At 36.7% G+C, this 20898-nt stretch overlaps 1 long non-coding RNA gene across 1 annotated transcript in view; it reads left to right on the top strand.

Annotated features, from left to right (window-relative positions):
• Positions 1 to 234: 234 nt before the first annotated feature.
• LOC107985713 (uncharacterized) overlaps positions 235 to 20898 on the top strand; it is a 119361-nt gene continuing 98697 nt past the window's right edge. Inside the window, exon 1 of the long non-coding RNA XR_001755911.2 lies at positions 235 to 377. This is a non-coding gene — a long non-coding RNA (uncharacterized LOC107985713). The remainder of the gene's footprint in view (positions 378 to 20898) is intronic.

Here is a 20898-nt window from a genome sequence, read left to right as displayed (position 1 = left end):
TTGAAATATTAATTATTTATTCCAGTTTTCTCTGCTTGGCTTGTTTTTGTTGTTGTTGTTAGATATGTTTGCTTAGAGATTTTTTATAATTTGCCTATTGATTTTTCTTCTTTTCTTTTCCTTTCTTTACTTTTCTTTTTTTTTTTTTTTCTGCTAGGTTGATGCCTTCATTAGGGCACTAGATGGAGCCTTAAGCCCAGGTTTGCTGCAGTTCTAGTAAACAGAATGTCTTTCATCCAGAATGAGGGATGTAACAGGAGAAATATCCCAGTAGTGTGGGAAAGCTAATTAGGGGTTTGTACCCATGGGAACTATGGGATAAAACTTCTAAAATGTGGTGATACTGAACAGTTGCTCTGAATTGATGTCTCCTTTGGGTGAGTTACAAAGCAGAGTTTTCAGGGCTAGGAATGGTTGTCCTTCCTTCTCCATTTGTCTCTCACTGTCTTCAGGAATATTTCTCCCTTCAGGCACTCCCAATGCTTCCCGTGGGTTGAGGCAGGAATGTGTTTTTTTGTCAGTGAAGCTGAGATCGTCAGGATGGTGGTGCCCCCTCTTGATCCCACTTTTTCCAGTGTAGAGACCATTAGTCCTAAGGAAGATTTTTATGTGTTTGGTGGTGGGAAGATTGGAGGAACGGTCATCACAGATGTGGAAGTCTGAATCTCTTACATATGCTCTAAGGTTTCTTGACTTTCCTGCCGTCCTGGGAACTGTCACATCTTCCTGTGTGAGGTCTGGGCTATTGCTGGAGAGAATCTTGGCACTATATGTTTGTTTTTAGTTTTCTATGGGGGTGGTGAGGCCAGCTTTCTGCTATGCTGCCATTTTGAAACTGAAAGTCAGTGTTGAAAATTTTTTTATGTACTTGGTCATTTGTATTTATTCTTTGAAAAATGTCTATTTGCCAAAATTTTGTAATAGATTTTTTTTTCTGTTCAGTTGTTTGAGTTCCTTATATATTCTGGACATTAACGCCTTGTGAATGAATAGTTTGCAAATATTTTCTCCTATTCTTCAGGTTGTCTCTTTCCACTGCTGATTGTTTCCTTTGCTGTTCAGGAGCTTTTTTGTTTGACATAATCTCATTTCTCTATTTTTCTTAATGCCTTCACTTTTGAAGTATTACTCATAAAATCTGTACCTAGAACAATGTTCTAAGGCATTTCCCCTATGTTTTATTCTTTTATAATTTGTGTCTTACATCTAAGTTTTTAATGCATTTTGAGTTGTTTATTATATATGGTAAAAGATGGAAATTTAGATTTATTCTTCTACATGTCGATATCCAGTTTGTCTAAAACTATTTACTGAAAAGAGTGGCATTTTCCTAATGTATGTTCTTGACTCCTTTTTTGAAAATCAGTTAGCTATAAATATGTGAATTTATAATTGGTTTCTCAATTCTGTTTCATTGACATATGTGTGTTTTATTACAATTCCATGCTTTTTACATTTTTGTTTCTTTTTTTATTGAAGTGAAAAATACATATATAATTTATTATTTTGCTGTTTTGAAATGCGAAGTTTAGTGGTAATATATGCTTATGTACTTATTATAAATATAAAATCTTCTTTGTTTCTTTCATTTCCGCCTTTGATAACCATTAATCTACTCTTCATTTTCATGAGATTCACTATTTTAGCTCCATCATATGAGTGAGAAAATGTGATATTTGTCTTTCTGTGCCTGACTTATTTCACTTAATATAGTGATCTCCAGTTCCATCTGTGTTCCTTAAAATGACAGGATTTCATTCTTTTTATGGCTGAATAATATTTTGTTATGCATATATGCCATATTGTCTTTATCCACTTATTCATTGGTGAGCATTTATGTTGATTCCATATTTTGAACTATTCTAAATAATGCAGCAATAACATGGAAATGCAGACATCTCTTTGATGTACTGATTTCCTTTCTTTTGAATATATACCCAGTAGTAGAATTGCTTAATATATGGTAGCACTTTTTTTTTTTCAGTGTCTTGCTCTGTTACCTGGGTTGGAGTACACTGGGGTGATCTTGACTCACTGCGACCTCTACCTTCTGGGCTCCAGTGATCCTCCCACCTCAGCCTCCCTAGTAGCTGGGACTATAGGTGCATGCCACCATGCTGGGCTAATTTTTTTAATTTTTTTGTGGAGATGGAGTTTCACCATATTGCCCAGGCTGATCTTGACATTGGGCTCAAACAATTCACCTATCTTGGCCTCTCAAAGTGTTGGGATTACAGGTGTCAACCACCATGCCTAGTGGTAGATCTATTTTTTCTTCTTTGAGAAACCTCCATAATGTTCTCCATAGTCACAGTATTAATTTATATTCTCAGCAACAATGTACAAGAGTTTTCCTTTCTCAATACTCTTGTGAGTTATTGCCTGTGTTTTTGATAAAAGCTATTTTAACTGGAGTGAGATGATGTCTCACTGTGATTTTGATTTGCATTTCTCTGATGATTTGTTATTTTTAGCATTTCTCATACACATGTTTGTCATTTATGTACTTCTGAGAAAAGTCTATTCAGATCTTTTGCTTTTTTTTTTTTTTGAGATGAAGTTTTGCTCTTGTCACCCGGGTTCAAGAGATTCTCATGCCTTAGCCTCCTGAGTAGCCGGGATTACAGGCCCCTGCCACCATGCCCAGTTAATTTTTGTATTTTCAGTAGAGATGGGGTTTCACCATGTTGGCCAGACTGGTCTTGAACTCCTGACCTCAGGTTATCCACCCGCCTCAGCCTCCCAAAGTACTGGGATTACAGGCATGAGCCACCAGACACGGCCTTTTGCTTATCTTTTAATTGAATTATTATTATTATTTTGCTCTTGAACTGTTTAAGCCACTTATATATTCTGGTTATTAATCCTTTGTCAGATCAATGGTTTGCAACTGTTTTCTTCAATTCTGTGGATTGTCTTCATTTTTTTGATTGTTTCATTTGTTGCGTGAAAGCTTTTTAGCTTGAGGTAATCTTATTTGTCTATTTTTGCTTTGGTACCCTGTGCCTTTCAGGTCTTACACACAAAAAAATTTGCCCAGACCAATTTCCTACAGTGTTTCCCCAATGTTTTCTTCTAGTAGTTTCCTAGTTTCAGGTAGTAGATTATAGTTTCTAATTTATTTTTATTTTATTTTTGTGTGTGGTGAAAGATGGCAGTCTAATTTTTTTTTTGGCATAGTTAATCGATTTTTCCAACACATTTATTGAAACAACTGTCCTTTTCCCATTGTGTGTGCTTGGCACCTGTGTCGAAGATGAGATTTTTTGCAGCTGGGGTAGTATATATCTGTGTTCTCTATTCTCTTCTTTTGCTCTGTGGGTCTGTTTTTATGCCAATATCATGGTGTCTTGGTTGCTATAGCTTTGATATATATATATATATATATGTATATCAATGATACTTCAAGTTCTGGGATACATGTGCAGAACAGGCAGGCTTGTTACATAAGTATAAATGTACCATGGTGGTTTGCTGGACCCATCAAACTGTCATCTACATTTGGTATTTCTCCTAATGCTATCCCTCCTCATGCCCCCCACCCCCCAACAGGCCCCAGTGTGAGATGTTCCCCTCCCTGTGCCCATATGTTTTTATTGTTCAACTCCCACTTATGAGTGAGAATATGTGGTATTTGATTTTCTGTTCCTGTGTTAGTTTGTTGAGAATGATGGTTTCCAGCTTCATCCATGTCCCTGCAAAGGACATGAACTCATCCTTTTTTATGGCTGCATAGTATCCCACAGTGTATATGTGCCACATTTTCTTTATCCAGTCTAACATTGATGGGCATTTGGGTTGGTTCCAAGTCTTTGCTATTGTGAATAGTGCTGCAATAAACATACGTGTGCATGTGTCTTTATAGTAGAATGATTTATAATCATTTGGGTATATACCCAGTAATGGGATTGGTGGGTCAAATGGCATTTCCAGTTCTGGATCTTTGAGGAATTGCCACACTGTCATCCACAATGATTGAACTAAGTTACACTCCCACCAACAGTGTAAAAGTGTTCCTATTTCTCTGCACCCTTTCCAGCATCGGTTGTTTCCTGACTTTTTAATGATTGCCATTGTAACTGGCCTGAGATGGTATCTCATTGTGGTTTTGACTTGCATTTCTCTAATGACCAGTGATGAGCTTTTTTTCATATGTTTGTTGGCCACATAAATGTCGTGTTTTGAAAAGTGTCTGTTCATATCCTTTGCCCACTTTTTGATGAGTTTTTTTTTTCTTGTACATTTCTTTAGGTTCCTTGTAGATTCTGGATATTAGCCCTTTGTCAGATGGATAGATTGTAAAAATTTTCTCCCATTCTGTAGGTTGCCTGTTCACTCTGATGATAGTTTCTTTTGATGTGCAGAAGCTCTTTAGTTTAATTAGATCCCATTTGTCAATTTTGGCTTTTGTTGCCATTGCTTTTAGTGTTTTAGTCATGAAGTCTTTGTCCATGACTGTGTCATGAATGGTATTGCCTAGGTTTTCTTATAGGGTTTTTATGGTTTCAGGTCTTACTTTTAAGTCTTTAATCCATTTTGAGTTAATTTTTGTATAAGGTATAAGGAAGGGGTCCAGTTTCAGTTTTCTGCATATGGCTAGCCAGTTTTCCCAACACCATTTATTAAATAGGGAATCTTTTCCCCACTGCTTGTTTTTGTCAGATTTGTCAAAGATAAGATGGTTGTAGATGTGCGGTGTTATTTCTGAGGCCTCTGTTCTTTTCCATTGGTCTATATATCTGTTTTGGTACCAGTAGCATGCTGTTTTGGTTACTGTAGCCTTGTAGTATAGCTTGAAGTCAGGTAGCATGATGCATTTGACTTTTGTATTGTTTGCTTCAAAAATTATTGTTTTGTCCAAGGTGGCAGTGGGTTCTTAAATTACCTGTAATTTTTTCCAAGTGGTGTCCTTTGCATAGACATTATTTTTTTTAAAAAAAGTCTGAGTTAAATGAGACAAAGGCAAACTCCTCATTTTAGTCCACCAAGAAACTTCCAGTTAGATCAAAACAGGCAAACACTATTTTCAAGAAACCAAATATGATCTGCTCCATAAACCAAAAATAAAATTTAAAGACCTCTAAGCAGGTGTTGGACCCTCCCCTCAGGTAAGGGAATTCCAAAGTTAACCTGTAAAGCTAGTTCAGGCCATGATGGAAAGAGTAGATTGCACATGGTTCATTATTTCCTCCTCCCTTTTGAAATTCAGGCACAGCTGTCCAGCATTAACGTTAAAACAGAACTTTAGACTGACAAAGCAGGCATTTTTTGTAGTGATAAGACATCTAATTCCAGCTTGACTCTAGTACGGCATCACATGACACATAGCTGGGCTTGAAAGAAGTTAAGGTATTTTACCCCAAATTAGATTTATTTGACATATTTTAAGATGGGCATGCAAAGCTGTCTCTTGTGAGGAAAATCTACATTATGTAGAGAATCCCTGTTCTTTTGCGGGTCTTTTCCCTGATTCAGGAGAGAATTAACAAATGTCTTGGAACTTTTCTTAGTCTGATAAGAATTCTGAAGCCTGCAACATAGAAGCTTCATCTGCATGATAAGCCCTTGGTCTCCACAACCTTTTATCTTAACCCAGATATACTCGTTGCTATTGATTCCAGGTCTTTAGATAGTAACTATTTCAACCAATTGCCAATTAGAAAATCTTTTAATCTGTCTATGACCTTGAAGCCTCCACTTACAGTTGTCTCACCTTTCTGGACTAAATTAACGTATATTTTACATGTATTTATCAATGTCTTTTATCTCCCTAAAATTTATAAAACCAAGCTGGAGCCTGACCAACTCAGGCCCATACTCTCAGGATTTCCTGATGGCTGTGTCATAGACCATCGTTCATGCATATTTGGCTCAGAATAAATCTCTTCAAATGTTTTACAGAGTTTGACTTTTTTATGAACAGCTCTCTCCTGCCTCTGGTGTGAAACCATACCAGAAACACAGTCAGTCATCTTTATACTGTCACCATATCTGTAAGAAGATTGGGGTAAGATTATATTAAATTGCCACAAAGCTCTAATGTGTTTCAGTAATATTTTTCTGTTTAAGCATTTGCTTGGCTGTTGTAAACCTCTGACTGTTAACCAGAGTTCTTATAATGTTGATTCCAACAATTTTTGATAGCTTTTTATTTTATTTTTTGGCGTTTCTGGTGACTGGTGAGTAAAGGTACGTAAAGTTTATTATTTTGCCAATTTTGCCTATGTCATTTCTTTTTACCTTTACTTTTCAGATATAGTTTTGCTTTATATAATATTCCAAATTGACTTTTTTCTTTTAGAACTTCGTAGATTTTATCCTACTGTCTTCTATTCTCCACTGTCATTGAGTGGAAAATCAGCTGTTACTTTCATGGGATTCCTTTGTATGATAATTTTTTTTCTCTTGCTGCTTTCAAGATTTTGTCTTAATCTTTCAGGATTTTTAATTAGATGCCTTTAGGTATGAATCTCTTTGTATTTATTCTACCTGGATTTCAATGAGTTTTTATGTGTACATTTGTTTTTCATAAAATATGGGAAGATTTCAGCAATTATTTCTTGAATGTGTTTTGTTTCTTTCCCTACAATTTCTCTCCTGACATTTCCATTAGATGTGTGCTAATATATGTACCAGTGTTCTGCAATAGTGAGATTCTGTTCAGTTTTCCCACACTTTTTTTCTCTTTGTATTTGAATTACATAATGTTTATCAATCCATCTTTGATTTCACAGATTCTTTCTTCTGTGTATTAAAACCAATTGTTGAATAACTTCAGTGAGTTTATCACTTCAATTATTGTACTTTCACCTACAAAATTTCATTTTTAAAAAATTTTTGTTTCTTTACTGATTTTTTTCTATTTGAGGAGTGTCAACAAAGAGTGTCAAACTCTGTAAAATATTTGAAAAGATCTCTTCTGAGCCAAATATGAATGACCATGGCCTATGACACAGCCCTCAGGAGATCCTGAGACCATGTGCCCAAGGTTATCAGGGTGCAGTTTGGTTTTATACATTTTAGGGACACATGCAACTTCAATCAAATACATTTAATAAATACATTGATTTGGTCCAGAAAGGCAGGACAACTTGAAGTGGGGGCTTCCAGTTGATTGGTACATTTGAAATTTTTCCAATTAGCAATTGGTTGAAAGAACTATCAATAGAAAGAATGTCTGGGTTGTGATAAGAGGTTGTGAAGACCAAAGTTTTATCATGCAGATGAAGCCTCTGGATAGCAGGCTTCAGAGAGAATAGACTATAAATGTTTCTTAACAGACCTAAGGTCTGTGTTGTTGTAAATTCCGGAGAGGTATAATGAGACATGTCAGATTCCCACTTCTCATCATGGCCTGAACCAGTCTTTCAGGTTAAATTTTAAAGCCCTGGCTTAAGAGGAGGTCCATTCAGATCGGTGAAGGGTATTAGAATTTTATTTTTAGTTTACAGGAGGCATTGCCATCATACCTTCCTAAAACATGGTTTCTCTTGGTTCTCTGAATGCATAAATATTTTTTGCTTTGAAATTTTTGTTAATTGCAACATCTGGACTCTCTTTCAAGTGGTCTTGTTACCTGTCTTTAAAAATTCTGTGTTTGTGTAAAAGTTACCTGTCTCTTTGTGTTTTGTGATTGTTTGTTAAAAATTTTGGACAATATTTTTGTAATAAATGTAGCAAATTTGAAAAATAATCCCCTCACCAACAAAACTTAAAAGGATTTTCTTAAAGAGCGCGCAGTGGAGGAGGCTAAACAAAGCATGGCCACGTGGTTACAGGTCATGCTTCAAAGGAGGTAAAACAAGATGGAGACCTGCAGCAAAGTTTGCTACTGACCATCCAGAAAGACACGCAAAGTACACCAGATTGGCTACAGCTTAACACCAACCTCACAAATCCTTTTTCATAATTAAAACTTTACAAAGACTATTAGCAATGATCCTTATTATTCCTGGGCTAGTAAAACATCTTTTAAAAAGAAAAAAAGCATCCCTTAAAAGTTAACTCCTGACCTGGTAGAGAAAAGAGAAAAAAAAAAGCTTAAAATTCAGGACTGTGTTAACTCCTGACAGGGTAGAGAAAAGGAAAAAAAAGTTTAAAGTGCAGGGTTGAGCCTGGGGGAAGAACCAATTATTCTTCCCCCCAAAATAAGAAAAAGGCCAACAACATTCTTGACCCCTGGGAGTAACAGGGTGGGGTAGGCGGCATAATTTCCTCTACCCTCAGAAGAAATCTGAGACCACAAAGGCTTAAAAGTGACAGGGAAAAAGATTTTTGGTTTGCGTGTTACTCACGCTTTCTCATGTCCCAATGTTTGGGCACCAAAATGTTGCAGAACTTTGATCTTTAGTTCAGCTAAAAGCAAGTTCTTGTCACACAACCAGAAAAAGACACACAGACACATTGAAAGGTTAGGGGAATTTATTGGATGAAAAGGAAAAAAAGGAAAAATAAAAACTCTCAGCAAAGCAAGAGGGGTTCGTGCTAACAGGCCCCCATCTCACAGATTGATTGCAGGCCACGCACACAGGAACTGAATAGGCCAGGCTTCTCCCGGCTGCAAACAGCGTGAACTTCCCATGGCTCCACTCCTTCCTCCAAGTGTGCAGGCTGGTCAGAGGTTCTCTGGGGACCTGCCCCCTTAACTTCCTCCTGCATATATCACAAGCTCTGGCCTTCCTGGCGTACTTGTTGACATTTCATCTACAAGCAAGCAAGCTGGAATGAGAATAATCACATGTCTTGTATTTACCTGCCACAGCTGATGACCCTTTGGCCATGCCTTCCTGGAATTTAGCTCCTGCAACACAGCTTGGGAGTGATGAGAAATGCAAGCACCCTATCCTGGGAAAGTAGCATAACACATAACTGGAGGCTGGAGGAAATAAAGCCCTGTATTTTTGGCCACAACCACCTTTATTAAAGTTTCTATCATGTTAACCATGTGGCAAGATAGTAGAAGGTAGATCTCTAACTCTACAAACTATAGACATTTTTTAAAACCCTCAACAAACAAGACATTGCACAAATATGCTTCAAAATAATAAGAGCTGTCTATGACAAACCCATAGTCAACATTGTACTGAATGAGCAAAAGCTGGAGTCATTCCCCTGGAATTCCAGAAGATAAGGATGCCCTCTCTCACCACTTTTATTCAACAGAGTACTGGAAGTCCTGGCCAGAGCGATCAGGCAATTGAAATAAAATAAAAGGCATCCAAAAAGGAATAGAGGAAGTCAAACTATTCCTGTTTTCAGAGCATGTAATTCTATACATAGAAATCCCATAGTCTCTGCCCAAAACCTACTTGATCTGATAAACAACTTGAACAAAGTTTCATCATACCAAACAATATGCAAAAATCAGTAAGACTCCTATACCCCAACAACATCTAAGCTGAGAGCCAAATCAAGAATGCAATCCCATTCACGATGGCCATAAAAAGAATAAAATACCTAAAAGTACTGCTAACCATGGAGGTGAAAGATCTCTACCAAAAGAATTACAAAACGCTGCTCAAAGAAATCAGAGATAACACAATCAAATGGAAAAGCATTTAAGGAAGAATCAATATTGTTAGGATGGGCATACTACCCAAAGCAATTTAGAGATTTAAAGTGATTCCTATCAAACTATCAATGACATTCTTCAGAGAATTAGTAAAAACTATTTCAAAATTCATATGGAACAACAACAACAAAAAATAGCCTGAATAGCTAAAGCAATTCTACACAAAAAGAATAGCGCTGAAGGCATCACTTTACCTGACCTCAAACTATACTTCAAAGGTACAGTAACCAAAAAAGGATACTGGTACAAAACAGGCACATAGACCAATTGAATAGAATAGAGAGCTCAGAAATGATACCACATACCTACAATCATCTGGAATTCATGGAGGTGGACAAAATCAAGCAATGGGGAAAGGACTCATTTAATAAATAGTGCTGGGATAACTGGCTAGCCATATGCAGAAGATTGAAACAGGACTGCTCCAATACATTACCCCAGTAGCCTGAGAACTGCTTCACAAACCCCACAGGGCATGCAGCTTGCCCTACACATGGAGAGTCAGAGTACAGAACTGCCTGATTCAGCCCCCACCTGACTGTGCCCCTCTACCTGCCCTGGTATATTAACACAAATGATAAAAACTTTGGGGAGCTTTATGGCTCTGTCCATCACCCAAGAAACCAGAATACCTTCCCTGGGCAACATAAAAACACGCTCAAATCCTACTGCTACTACTGCAGATGGTGCTCTTTTGCACGCGCCACCTTCTGGCTGGGGTCAAACTGACTCAGTCTGTTACAGCATCACTAGGTAGAATAACACTGCTCCCAGAAAGGAGAAAACCAGGGTGTGAACTCAGATATCACCATTGCCTCTAACACCCTGGCTAAGTAGAAGGTTCTGAGTCTGTCTACTTGGCCAGTTCACCATTATTATAATCAGCTTTTGAGAAAGCCAGCACACTAAGGCTACCTATAACTAAGAAAATACACAGAGTCTGTATCACTCTCCTATTATCCCCATCAGAGCTCATGCTGGTACCCACTGCTGGGAGATTTGAGAACAGGTCACATCACCAGATCCCTTGCATATTCCATAGCACCAGCTGGGTCGTGGCAGCCCTACTCGTGGCTAGATCCAGAAGAACAATAACAATCAGACAGAATGTCATCAAAGAAACAATGGACTTAAACTACACTCTAGAATAAACAGACTTAACAGCTATTTACAGAACATTCTACCCAACAACTGCAGAATATACGTTCTTCTCATCAGCACATGGAACATTCTCCAAGATAGACTATATGATAGGACAAAAACACAAGTCTCAATACATTTAAGAAAACTGAAACCATATTAAATATCTCCTCAGAACACAGTGGATTAAAACTAGAAATAAACATAAAAGGGAACCCTCAAAATTATGCAAATACATGGAAAATAAATAATCTACTTTGGAATGATTTCTGGGTTAGCAAGGAAATCAAGATGGAAATATAAATTTTTTAAAATGAATGATAATAGTGACACAAGTTATCAAAACCTCTGGAATACAGAAAAAGCTATGCAAAAAGGAAAGTTAATAGTTAAATGCCTATATCAAAAAGTCTGAAAAAGCACAAATTGACAACATAATGTACCACCTCAAGGAACCATAGAAACAGGAACAAACTAAACCCAAAGACAGCAGAAGAAAAGAAATAACAAATATCAGACAACTAAATAAAGTTGAAACAAAGAAAATACCAAATATAAATGAAACAAAAAGCTAGTTCTTTGAAAAGATTAGCAAAATTGTGAGACCATTAGTAAGACTGACCAAAAATGAAGAGAGAAGATAGATCCATCTAAGCTCAATTTGAAATGAAACTGGAGACATTACAACATATTCCCCAGAAATACAAAAGATCATTTGAGACTACTATGAACACCTTTATGCACACAAAATAGAAAACCTAGAGGGAATGAATAAATTCCTGAAAACATACAATCCTCCTAGACTCAATCAGAAAAATAAATAGAAATCCTGAAGAGACCAATAACAAGCAGCAAAATTGAATCAATAATTTAAAAAAGCCAACAAAAATCCCAAAACCAGATGAATTCATAGCTAAATTCTACCAGAAATTCAAAGAACGATTGTTGCAAATCTTACTGAAACTATTCCAAAAGATTGAGAAACACGGAATCCTTGTGAAATTATTCTTTGAAGCCAGTATCACCCTGACACCAAAAGCAGGAAAGAAAATAATAAAAAAAAACCATAGACCAATATCCCTGATAAACTTTGATGCAAAAATCCTCAACAAAATACTAGCTAACTGAATCCAACATCACATCAAAAATATAACACATCATGGCCAAGTGGGTTTTGTCCCAGGAGTGCAGAGATGGCTTAACATATTCAAGTCAATAAATGTTATAGATCACATACACAGAATTAGACTAAAGTATAGGATCATCTCAATAGATGCAAAGCATTTGATAAAATCCAGCATCTGTTTATGATAAAAATCCTCAATAAACTAGGCATAGAAGAGACTTACCTCAAAATAATAAAAGCCATATATGACATACCCACAGCAAACATCATACTAAAAGGAAAAAAGTTGAAAAATTTCACCCTGAAAACTTTAAGGAGAGAAGGATGCCCATTTTCACCACTTCTATTTAACATAGTACTAGAAGTCCTAGTCAGAGCAATCAGGCAAGAGAAAGAAATAAAGGACATCCAAATATAAAAAGAAAAAGTCATACTAGTACTGTTCACTGATAAGATTCTATACCTAGAAAACTCTAAAGGCTGTTTCAGAAGACTCCTAGATATGATAAATGAATTTAGTAAAATCTCAGGATGCAAAATCAATGTACACAAACCAGTAAAAATGATAAATACTAAAAATGTCCAAGCTGAGAATTAAATCAAGAACTCAATCTTGTTTACAGGAGCTAAAAAAAAATCTAGGAATATACTTAGACAAAGAGGTAAAGTATATTTACAAAGAAAACTACAAGACACTGCTGAAATAAATCATAGATGACACAAACAAATGGAAACTTATCCCATGCCTATGGGTGGGAAAAATTCGTATTGTAAAAATGATCATACTGCCCAAAGCAATCTACAGATTCAAAGCAATTTCCATAAGAACACCACCACCAGCCAGGCGCGGTGGCTCACGCCTGTAATCCCAACACTTTGGGAGGCTGAGGCAGGTGGATCATGAGGTCAGGAGATCGAGACCATCCTGGTTAGCACGGTGAAACCCAGTCTCTACTAAAAGTACAAAAAAATTAGCTGGGCATGGTGGCGGGCGCCTGTAGTCCCAGCTACTTAGGAGGCTGAGGCAGGAGAATGGCATGAACCCAGGAGGCAGAGCTTGCAGTGAGCCGAGATTGTGCCACTGCACTCCAGCTTGGGCGGCAGAGGGAGACTGCATCTCCAAAAAAAAAAAAAAAAAAAAAAAAAAAAAAAAACCACCACCACCATTTTTCACAGAAGTAGAAACAACAATTCTAAAATTCATATGGAACCAGAAAAGAGCCTGAATAGCCAAAGCACTACTAAGCAATAAGAAGAAATCTGGAAGCATTACATTACCAGAGTTCAAAATATACTACAAGGCTATAGTTACCAAAGCAGCATGGTACTGGTATAAAAATAGGCACTTAGACCAACAGAAAAGAATAGAGAACAGAGAATTAAAGCCAAATACTCACAGCCAACTGATCTTTGACAGAGCTTACAAAAATATAAATTGAGCAAAAAACTCCTGATGTATTTGGCTCTGTGTCCCCACTCAAATCTCATCTCAAACTGTAATCCCCATGTGTCAGGAGAGGAGCCTGGTGGAAGGTGATTGGATCATGGGGGCAGATTTCTCACTTGCTGTTCTCATGATAGTGAATGAGTTTTCATGAGTTCTCATTGTTTAAAAGTGTATGGCACCTCCCCATTCTCTCTCTGTCTCTCCTGCCACCATGGTAAGATGTGCTTTCTTCTCTTTTCTCTTCTGCCATGATTGTAAGTTTCCTTAGGCCTCCCAGTCATGCTTCCTGTTAAGCCTGCAAAACTGTGAGTCAATTAAACCTTTTTTCTTTACAGATTACCCAGTCTTGGGTAGTTCTTTATAGCACTGTGAGAATGGACTAATATGGAAAAATGGTACTAGGAGTGGGATACTGATATAAAGATACCTGAGAATGTGGAAGCAACTTTAAATCTGGGTAATGGGCATTGATTAGAACAGTTTTGAGTGCTCAGAAGATAGGAAGATGTGGGAAAGTTTGGAACTTCCTAGAGACTTGTTGAATGGTTTTGTTAAAAATGCTAATTGTGATATGGACAATGAAGTACAAGCTGAGGTGTTCTCAGATGGAGATGAGAACTGGTGTAAAGGACACTTTTGCTTTGCTCTAGCAAAGAGACTGGTAACATTCTGTCCCTGTCCTAGAGATATGTAGAACTTTTATCTTGAGAGACGTGATTTATGGTATCTGATGGAAGAAATGTCTAAGCATCAAAGCATTCAAGATGTGACCTGGTTGTTTCTAAAAGTGTATGCTCATATGTGTCAGAAAATAGATGGTCTAAAATTGGAACTTATATTAAAAAGAAAAGCAGAACATAAAAGTTTGGAAAACTTGCAGCCTGACCATGTGGTAGAAAAGAAAAACTCATTTTCTAGGGAGAAATTTAAGCCTGCTGCAGAAATTTGCATAAGTAAAGAGGAGCGGAATGTTAATAGCCAAGACATATCTCCAGAGCATGTCAGAGACCTTCACTTCAGTCCCTCCCATCACAAGCCTGGAGGCCTAGAAGGGAAAAATGGTTTCGTGGGCCAGGCCCAGGGCCCAGATGCTTTGTGCAGTCGTGGGACAAGGTGCCCTGTGTCCCAGCTGCTCAAGCTCCAGTCCTGGCTAAAAGGGCCAAGATACAGCTTAGGCCATTGCTTCAGAGTGAGCAAGCCCCAAGACTGGGCAGCTTCCATGTGGTGTCGTGCCTGCAGGTACACAGAAGGCAAGAGTTGTGGCTTTGGCAATTCCACCTAGATTATAGAGGATGTATGGAAATGCTTGGATGGCCAGGAGGAAGTCTGCTGCAGGAGCAGAGCCCTCATGGAGTACCTCTACTACAGAAGTGCAGAGGGGAAATGTGGGGTTGGAGCCCCCACACAGAATCCCCACTGGGCCACTGCCTAGTGGAGCTGCAAGAAGAGGGCCACCATCCTCCATAGTGCAAAATGGTAGATCCACTGACAGCTTGCACTATGTGCCTAGAAAAGCCACAGTCACTCAATGCAAGCCTATGAAAGCAGCTGTGGTGCTGTACCCTGCAGAGCCACAAAGGCAGAGCTGCTTAACGCCTTGGAAGCCCACCCCTTGCATCAGTGTGCTTTGGTTTTGAGACTTGGAGTCAAAGGAGATTATTTTATAGCTTTGAAATTTAATGACTGCCCTGTTCTATTTCAGACTTTCATGAGGCCTGTAGCTCCTTTGATTTGGCCAATTTCTCCCTTTTGGATTGGGAGCATTTACCCAATTCCTGTATCTTCATTTTATCTTGGAAGTAACTTGTTTTTTATTTTACAGTCTCATAGGTGGAAGGGACTTGCCTTGTCTCAGATGAGACTTTGAATGTGAACTTTTGAGTTAATGCTGGAATGAGTTAAGACTTTGGGTGGCTGTTGGGAAGGCATGATTGTCTTTTGAGATGTGAAAGCAACATGACATTTGAGAGGGGCCACAGCCAGAAAGATATGGTTTGGCCCTGTGTCCCCACCCAAATCTCATCTTGAATTTTAATGTCCACATGTTGGGGGAACAGCCTGTAGAAGGTTATTGGATCATGGGGGTGAATTTTCCCCTTGCTGTTCTCATAATATTGAATGAGTTCTTACAAGATCTGATTATCTAAAAGTATGAGGCACCTCCTCCTTCTCTCTCTGTCTCTCCTGCTGCCATGGTAAGATGTGCTTGCTTCCCCTTCACTTTCCCCCATGATTGTAAGTTTCTAGAGGCCTCCAATTCATGCTTCCTGTTAAGCCTGCAGAACTATGAGTCAATTAAACCTCTTTTCTTCATAAATTACCCAGTCTCAGCTCGTTCATTATAGCACTGTGAGAACACACTAATACAACACCTTATTCAATAAATGGTGCTGGGAAAACTGGCAAGCCATGGGTAGAAGCATGAAACTGGATCCTCATCTCACGTCTTATACAAAAATCAACTCCAGGTGAATCAAAGACCTAAATCTCAGATCTGAAACCACAAAATTCTAGATGAGCATAGATAAAACTATGGACATTGCCTAGGTAATGATTTTATGATAAAGACCCCCAAAACAATGAAAAAATAAATGAATAAGTTGGATATAATTAAACTAAAAAGTTTCTGCACAACAAAACAAATAATTGGCAGAGTAAACAGACAACCCACAGAATGGGAGAAAATATTTGCAAACTATGCATCTCACAAAGGACTAGTGTCCACAATCTACAAGAAACTCAAATCAGTCGGAAAAAAACCACAAATAATTCCATCACAAACTGTGCAAAGGACATGAATAGACATTTCTCAAGATATACAAATGGCCAACAAACATATGAAAAAATGCTCAACATCAGTAATAATCAGGAAAATGCAAAGTAAAAAGGGAACACTTTTACACTGTTGGTGTGAATGTAAATTAGTACAACCTCTATGGAAAACAATATGGAGATTCCTTAAAGGACTAAAATTTGATCTAGTATTTGATCCTGCAGTCCCACTATTGGGTATCTACTCGAGGAGAAGAAGTCTTGTATGAAAAAGCCATTTTCACATGCATGTTTGTAGCAGCACAATTCACAATTGCAAAGCTATGAACCCAAAGTGTCCATCAATTAACAAGTGGATAAAGAAATGTGGTATATATACACCATGGAATACTATTCAGTCATAAAAAGGAACAAAATAATGCTGTTTGCAGCAACTTGAAAGGTGTAGGAGGTTATTATTCTAAGTGAAGTAACTCAGGAATGGAAAACCAAATATTTTATGTTCTCACTTATAAGTGGGAACTAAGCTATTTAGATGCAAAGGCATAAGAATGATATAATAGACTTTGGAGACTCAGGGCAAAGGTTGGGAGGAGGATGAGGGATAAAAGACTATATATTGGGTAAAGTGTACAATATTTGGGTAACAGGTGCACCAAAATCTCAGAATTTACCAGTATAGAATTCATCCATGTAACCAAAAACTACCTGTTTCCCAAAATCTATTTAAAAAAAAATCAGACTACACAGCAAGCAAATGGAGGAAACTGAGACTATGCAGAGAATATGAAATAATTTTCATGTTGATAGCAATATTTTAAATTTGAATAAAACTTTATCTGTGGCCGGGTGTGGTGGCTCACACCTGTAATCCCAGCACTTTGAGAGGCCGAGGTGGTTGGATCAGGAGGTCAAGAGATGAAGACCATCCTGGCCAAAATGGTGAAACCCCGTCTCTACTAAAAATACAAAAATTAACTGGGTGTGGTGCTGTGTGCCTGTAGTCCCACCTACTCAGGAGGTTGAGACAGGAGAATCGTTTGAACCAGGGAGGCAGAGGTTGCAGTGAGCCAAGATCGTGCCACGGCCCTCCAGCCTGGTGACAGAGTGAGACTGCGTTTAAAAAAAAAAATTTATCTTTGCCAAAATAAATTTTGACATACACCAAAATTCTCAAAAATTATCAATTTACTTTTTAATAATTTGTTTTTTCTTATTTAAGTTTCATGAGAACAAGAACATTGCCTGCTTTTTCCTCACTGCTCAATCCCTAGTTTCTACAACAATGTGTAACACAGTAATTGATCAAATATGTATTTGTTGAAAAAAAGTTTAAATATCAAATTTATTTCTTATTTTATTCTGTGATACAGGAAAGTAGACATGATAAATATTATGATTTTTATTTTATGGATAAGTAAGTAATTAAAGTTCAGTGAGTAAACTTGTTTCCATGGAAAAATAGAATCGGATTAATCTCATCTTAAAAATATTATCTGATAATTGTTAAACATAATATTGTTGCATATAACTTTTAAATAAAAAAATGCCTTTTGTATAACCTCAAATTGCTTTACATATGCTTCTGACAACCTAGACCTCTTCTATATTTTAATTATTCTAATATAATGTGTTTTATTTATTTATTTATTTATTTTAGATTTATGGGTTATATGTGCCGGTTAGTTACATAAATATATTGTGTGATGTTGAGGTTTGGGCTTCTATAGAAACCATCACCCAAATAGTAAACATAGTATCCAATATGTAATTTTTAACCGTTCTCCCCATATCCCTCCAGTTTTTTGGAATCTTTAGTGTCTTTTGGTCCCATATTTATGTCCATGTGTATGCAATACTTAGCTCTGACTTATAAGTGAGAATGTGTGGTATTTGGTTTTCTGTTTCTGTGTTAATTCCTTTAGAATAATGATCTGCAACTGCATCGATATTGCTGCAAAGGACATGATTTTATTCTGTTTGTGGCTGCATAGTATTTCATGGTGTATATGTACAACATTCTTTATCCTATCCACCATTGATAGGCACCTAGGTTGATACAGTATCTTCACTATTATGAATACTGCTGCAATGAACATATAAGTGCAGATTATTTTTTGGTAAAACTATTTTCCTTTGTAAAAGGAAATTCAAAGAAAGAGATTGCTGGATCGGGTGACAGTTCTATTTTTAGATCTTTGAGAAATTTCCAAATTGCTTTCCCCAGAAGTTTAACTAAATTACATTCCTACCAACAGTGTATAAGCATTTCCTTTTCTCCGCAACCTCACCAATATCTTTGTCAATATGTTTGACATTTTAGCCGTAGCCACTCTGACTGGTGTGAGACATTATCTTATGTGTTCTCAATTTGCATTTCTTTGATGATTAATAATAGTGGGCATTTTTTTCATATGTTCGTTGGCTGTTTGTATGTCTTTAGAGAAGTGTCTGTCCATGACTTTTGCCCACTTTTTAATAAGATTTTTTTTCTCATTGTTTTGTTTAATTTCCTTATGGATTCTGGATATTAGTCCTTTGTTAGATGCATAGTTTGCAAATATTTTCTCACTTTCTGTAGCTTGTCTATTTACTGTGTGGATGGTTTATTTTGCTATACAGAAGCTGTTTAATTATGTCCCACTTGTATATTTTTTGGTTTTGTCATGTTTGCTTTTAAGAACTTAGTCAGAAATTCTTTTCTTAGACCAATGTGCACAAAAACTTTTCGTAGGTTTTCTTGTAGGATTTCAATAGCTTGAGGTTTTACATTTAAATATTAATCCATTATGAGTTAACTTTTATATGTGGTATGAGATAGTGGTCCAGTTTCATTCTTTTGTATATGGTTAGTCAGATATCTCAGCTCCATTTATTAAATAGGGTCTCCTTCCCCCATTTATTTTTCCAACTTTGTCAAAGCTTAGTTAACTGGTTGTAAGTGTGTGGCTTTATTTTGGTGTTCTGTCTTCTGTTCCACTCATCTCTGAGTCTGTTTTTTTACAAGTACTATGATCTTTTGGTTACTATAGTCTTGTAGTGTAGCTTGAAGTCAGGTAATGTGACACATTCAGCTTTGTTTTCCTCCTAGGATTGCCTTGGCTATTCAGGATGACTTTTGTTTTAATACAGATTTAAGAATTTTTTTTAATTCTGTAAAAAATGACATTGGCGGTTTGACAGAAATTGTGTTGAATCTATAGATTCCTTAGGGCTGTGTGGCCATTTTAGTGATGTTGATTCTTCCAATTTATGGACATAAAATATTTTTTCATTTGTCTGTGCTGTCTGTGATTTCTTTCCCACAGCAAACATTATATTGAATGGGCAAAAGCTGAAAACATTACCCTTAAGAACTAAAACAAGAAAAGGATGTCCAATCTCACTACTCCTATTCAAAATAACACTGGAAGTCCTAGTCAGATAAATCAGGCAAGAGAAAGAAACAAAAGGCATCCAAATAGGAAAATAGGAAGTCAATTTATTTCTCTTCACTGATGATGTTTCTATATCTAGAAAACTTAAGATTCCATCAAAAGACTCCTAGACCTAATAAACAACTTCACTACAGTTTCAGGATACAAAACCTATGTACAAAACTCAGTAGCATTTCTATACACCAATAATATTCAAGCTGAGAATCAAATCAATAACACAATTTCATTTATAGTAGTCACACAAAGAATGAAGTACCTAGAAATACTTCTAACCAGGGAGGTGAAAGATCTCTAAAATAGAACTACAAAACACTGATGAAACAAATAATAAAGTGTGTTTAGATCATGTTATCAATTTCAGATAACTTTTGGAAGTATACAGAAGAATAATATAAATCTTGTACTTACATTCAATCCCAGGAAACTTCCTGGTGTATTACTTCTCTAAGTGCAGGATAAACCTTAATTATTCTTGGACCCTTGATTGAGCCTTTGTGTCTAGTTTCTTTTCTCAGTATTAGCATGTGTTTGTATGTGGGGGTGGTACTGGGTGTTTATTTTATTTAAATGTGATCCTATGGTCATTTCAAACTTTTTACTGAGCAAACAAGGTGTCAGTAACATCATCCTACATTTGTGTTAATAAATATTAAATTGTAGAAGAGCATTAGATTTACAGAAAAATTACAAAATTACTACAGAAAGTTCTCATATGCTCCACACCTAGTTTCCCCTATTATTAATACCTAACATGAGTATGATACATTGTTAAAATTTACAAATCAATAAATCCAATTTGACACACTATTATTAATTAAACTCCATATTTTTTTTTATTTTTTAGTTTTAACCTAATGTCTTTTTTTCTATTTCAGTATCCTATCTAGGATATGTCTTTGAAATTAATCATTACGTTTTCTTATGCATCATATACTCTTTTGGCTGTGGCAATTTCTCAGATTCTCTTGGTGTTTGATGACCTTGACAGTTTTTGAGAGGTTCTGCTCAGGTATTTTGTAGAATGACCCTCTATTCCCTCTATTGGTATATGTCTGAGAGTTTTTTATGGTTAGACTCAGTTTACAAGTTTTGAGGAGGAAGACCACAAATCTAAACTGCCACTCTTATCCCATCATAACAAGAGTATGATGTAGATCTTAGTCATCAGTCTGAAGTAGTGTGTGCTAGTTTTATCCACTGTAAAGTTATTCCTCTTTCCTTTTTCATGTTGTGCACTTTGGAAGAAAGGCACAGGTAAAGCCCGGATGTAACAAGTTGTGGTTATGCTCTTGTTACTTCCTATATAAATTATTTGAAATTCTTTTCCACCAGAGATGTATCTATTCTCCTTTATTTATTTCCTTTTCAGCCATTTATTTTTATATCAGTATGGATTCTTGAAACT

Source organism: Homo sapiens, chromosome X (genome assembly GCF_000001405.40).
Source record: "Homo sapiens chromosome X, GRCh38.p14 Primary Assembly".
NCBI lineage: Eukaryota > Metazoa > Chordata > Mammalia > Primates > Hominidae > Homo > Homo sapiens.
This window is presented reverse-complemented; position numbering and strand designations above follow the sequence as displayed.